Source organism: Homo sapiens, chromosome 17, assembly GCF_000001405.40.
Source record: "Homo sapiens chromosome 17, GRCh38.p14 Primary Assembly".
NCBI lineage: Eukaryota > Metazoa > Chordata > Mammalia > Primates > Hominidae > Homo > Homo sapiens.
Genome location: NC_000017.11, coordinates 22,298,446 through 22,300,275, shown reverse-complemented (window position 1 = coordinate 22,300,275; position 1,830 = coordinate 22,298,446). Strand labels below are relative to the sequence as shown.

At 56.2% G+C, this 1,830-nt stretch overlaps 1 long non-coding RNA gene across 1 annotated transcript; it reads right to left on the bottom strand.

Moving 5' to 3' along the window:
- Positions 1-382: 382 nt before the first annotated feature.
- Positions 383-1,512, bottom strand: FAM27E5 (family with sequence similarity E5). The gene is made up of 2 exons (NR_028336.1): positions 1,308-1,512; positions 383-786 (listed from the first exon to the last, which is right to left on the bottom strand). It is a non-coding gene; the product is annotated as a family with sequence similarity E5 (long non-coding RNA).
- Between the last annotated feature and the right edge of the window lie 318 nt (positions 1,513-1,830).

Genomic DNA, 1,830 nt, shown 5'->3' with positions numbered 1-1,830 from the left:
GTGTCCAGGCATGTGCCCAACTGAAGGGGGGTACAAGTGACCTTTCCATCAATGCCAAGCAAAATCAAAGAACACCTGGAATCCAGGAGGGGGCCAAAAGATTCAGGGAGTCAGTCCACCCAGGAGCAGAGGAGAGGACATCCCTCAAGAATGAGACAGGAGATGCAGAGGAAATGCGACACCGCGCCCGTCATAGAAGAAAAGGCCAGTCATGGTCGCTTACCATTGCTTCTAGGCAATCCACTACCCATGAGGTGAAACATGGAGACCAAGGTAGCTTCCCTGTCTGAGACACATATGAAAGCTAAGAGCTCCAGGGTCATCAAACCTGCCCAATCAAGCAGAAACAGGTTTGGAGAGAGACACAATCATGACAAGGATGTCCACCAACTGTCTCCCTGATGGACTGGGAAGTGATCTTTTTTGAAGACATTCAGCCAGACCTAGAAGCATCTAGGCCCCTCAGAAACAAGGGAGACAGAGTAAGAGGGAGGACAGAGCAGGGGCCAGAGCCCAGGCAGGATACAGCACTGTGCCACCGCCACGGGCATAAGGGGAGGGGTGCCAAAAGGGTAACTTGTTCAGAGAGGCCACCATGACAGGGCTTGTTGCCATCTCCCATTCCTGGCTTCCTCTTCAAGACTGTATCGTGGTGTGGCTTCACTTCTCAGAGAAGAGCCGTGAAAACATACAGCCATCTTCTTGGACGTGGGCCTGCTCCTCTCCTGCAGGACAGTGAGCTCCTGTGGGGCTTTTATCCTTGGCTGGAGTGTGGTCATCTTGATCCTAGAAAAGAGGCCACTCAGGATAGGGATGAGATTTCAATTGCTCGGGGATCGACGCATCTCCTCACGTTGTCGAGGCCTTCACAAACCCAAAGTGGAACCGACAGGAAAACGATGGACAACTGGCCACAGGACCCAGGGAGAGACGCCGAAAAAGGCTCACCAAAGACCGACTGACATGCAAGAAATTGCTTTCTGGTGCACGGGGCACATTCGTCCAAACACACACACGCACAAGGGCACACACACACACACATACAAACCGACAGAGAGAGGGAAAGAAATAGAGAGTGATAGCGAGAGAGAAGAGAATGGGACACACACACACACACACACACACACACACGCACACAGTCATACAGCGGTGTCATGGAAGCACCCCCACCTCAGCCGGCAGGCAACCCTTGAGGCTGCAGGGTTCTGCTCTCCACGCGAACGACACTCGGGTGAGAGAGCAGCCCACGGACACACAGGCAGACCTGTCCTCCAGATCACGGGGGCACGACTTTTGGGGAGACTCACCCGAACACCCTCCGGGCAGGCCTGAAGATGGGATGCCGCGCTGCTTCCCCGGACTCTGCCTGTGGTTTCGTCATCCTAGTCGGCCCATTTCAGGTCCTGGCGTCCGGAGACGTTCCTGTGTACCCCGTGGAGAAGTCAGGCCGGAGCCTCGGAGCCCCGACACCGAAGCCCTGCTACGGAGGGCTCCTGCTTTGCGAAGCCTCAGGGAGTGGTTTCTACGACAACCCTGGGAATCGCTGTGATGGGGAGAAGCGGCTCTCTCCTTGCGCATGCGCATTGACTTGGCCAAGTCTTGCGTAGCTCCTGGAAGTCAGGCTGAGGTCCCTTTAAACAATGGCAGCTGCGCGGAGGCAGTGGGGCGGTTCTTGCTGCAGCAGCGGTGGCGGCTGGATACGGGGCCCAGTATGGGGCGGCGTGGGAGAGGGGACCGCGGACGTCCAGTACCAAACCGTGTCACCTGGAGTGACTGGCTCTCCAAGGGCCAGCTGGCCATCGTATCCTGGAGATGGTCAACAAAGCTTTG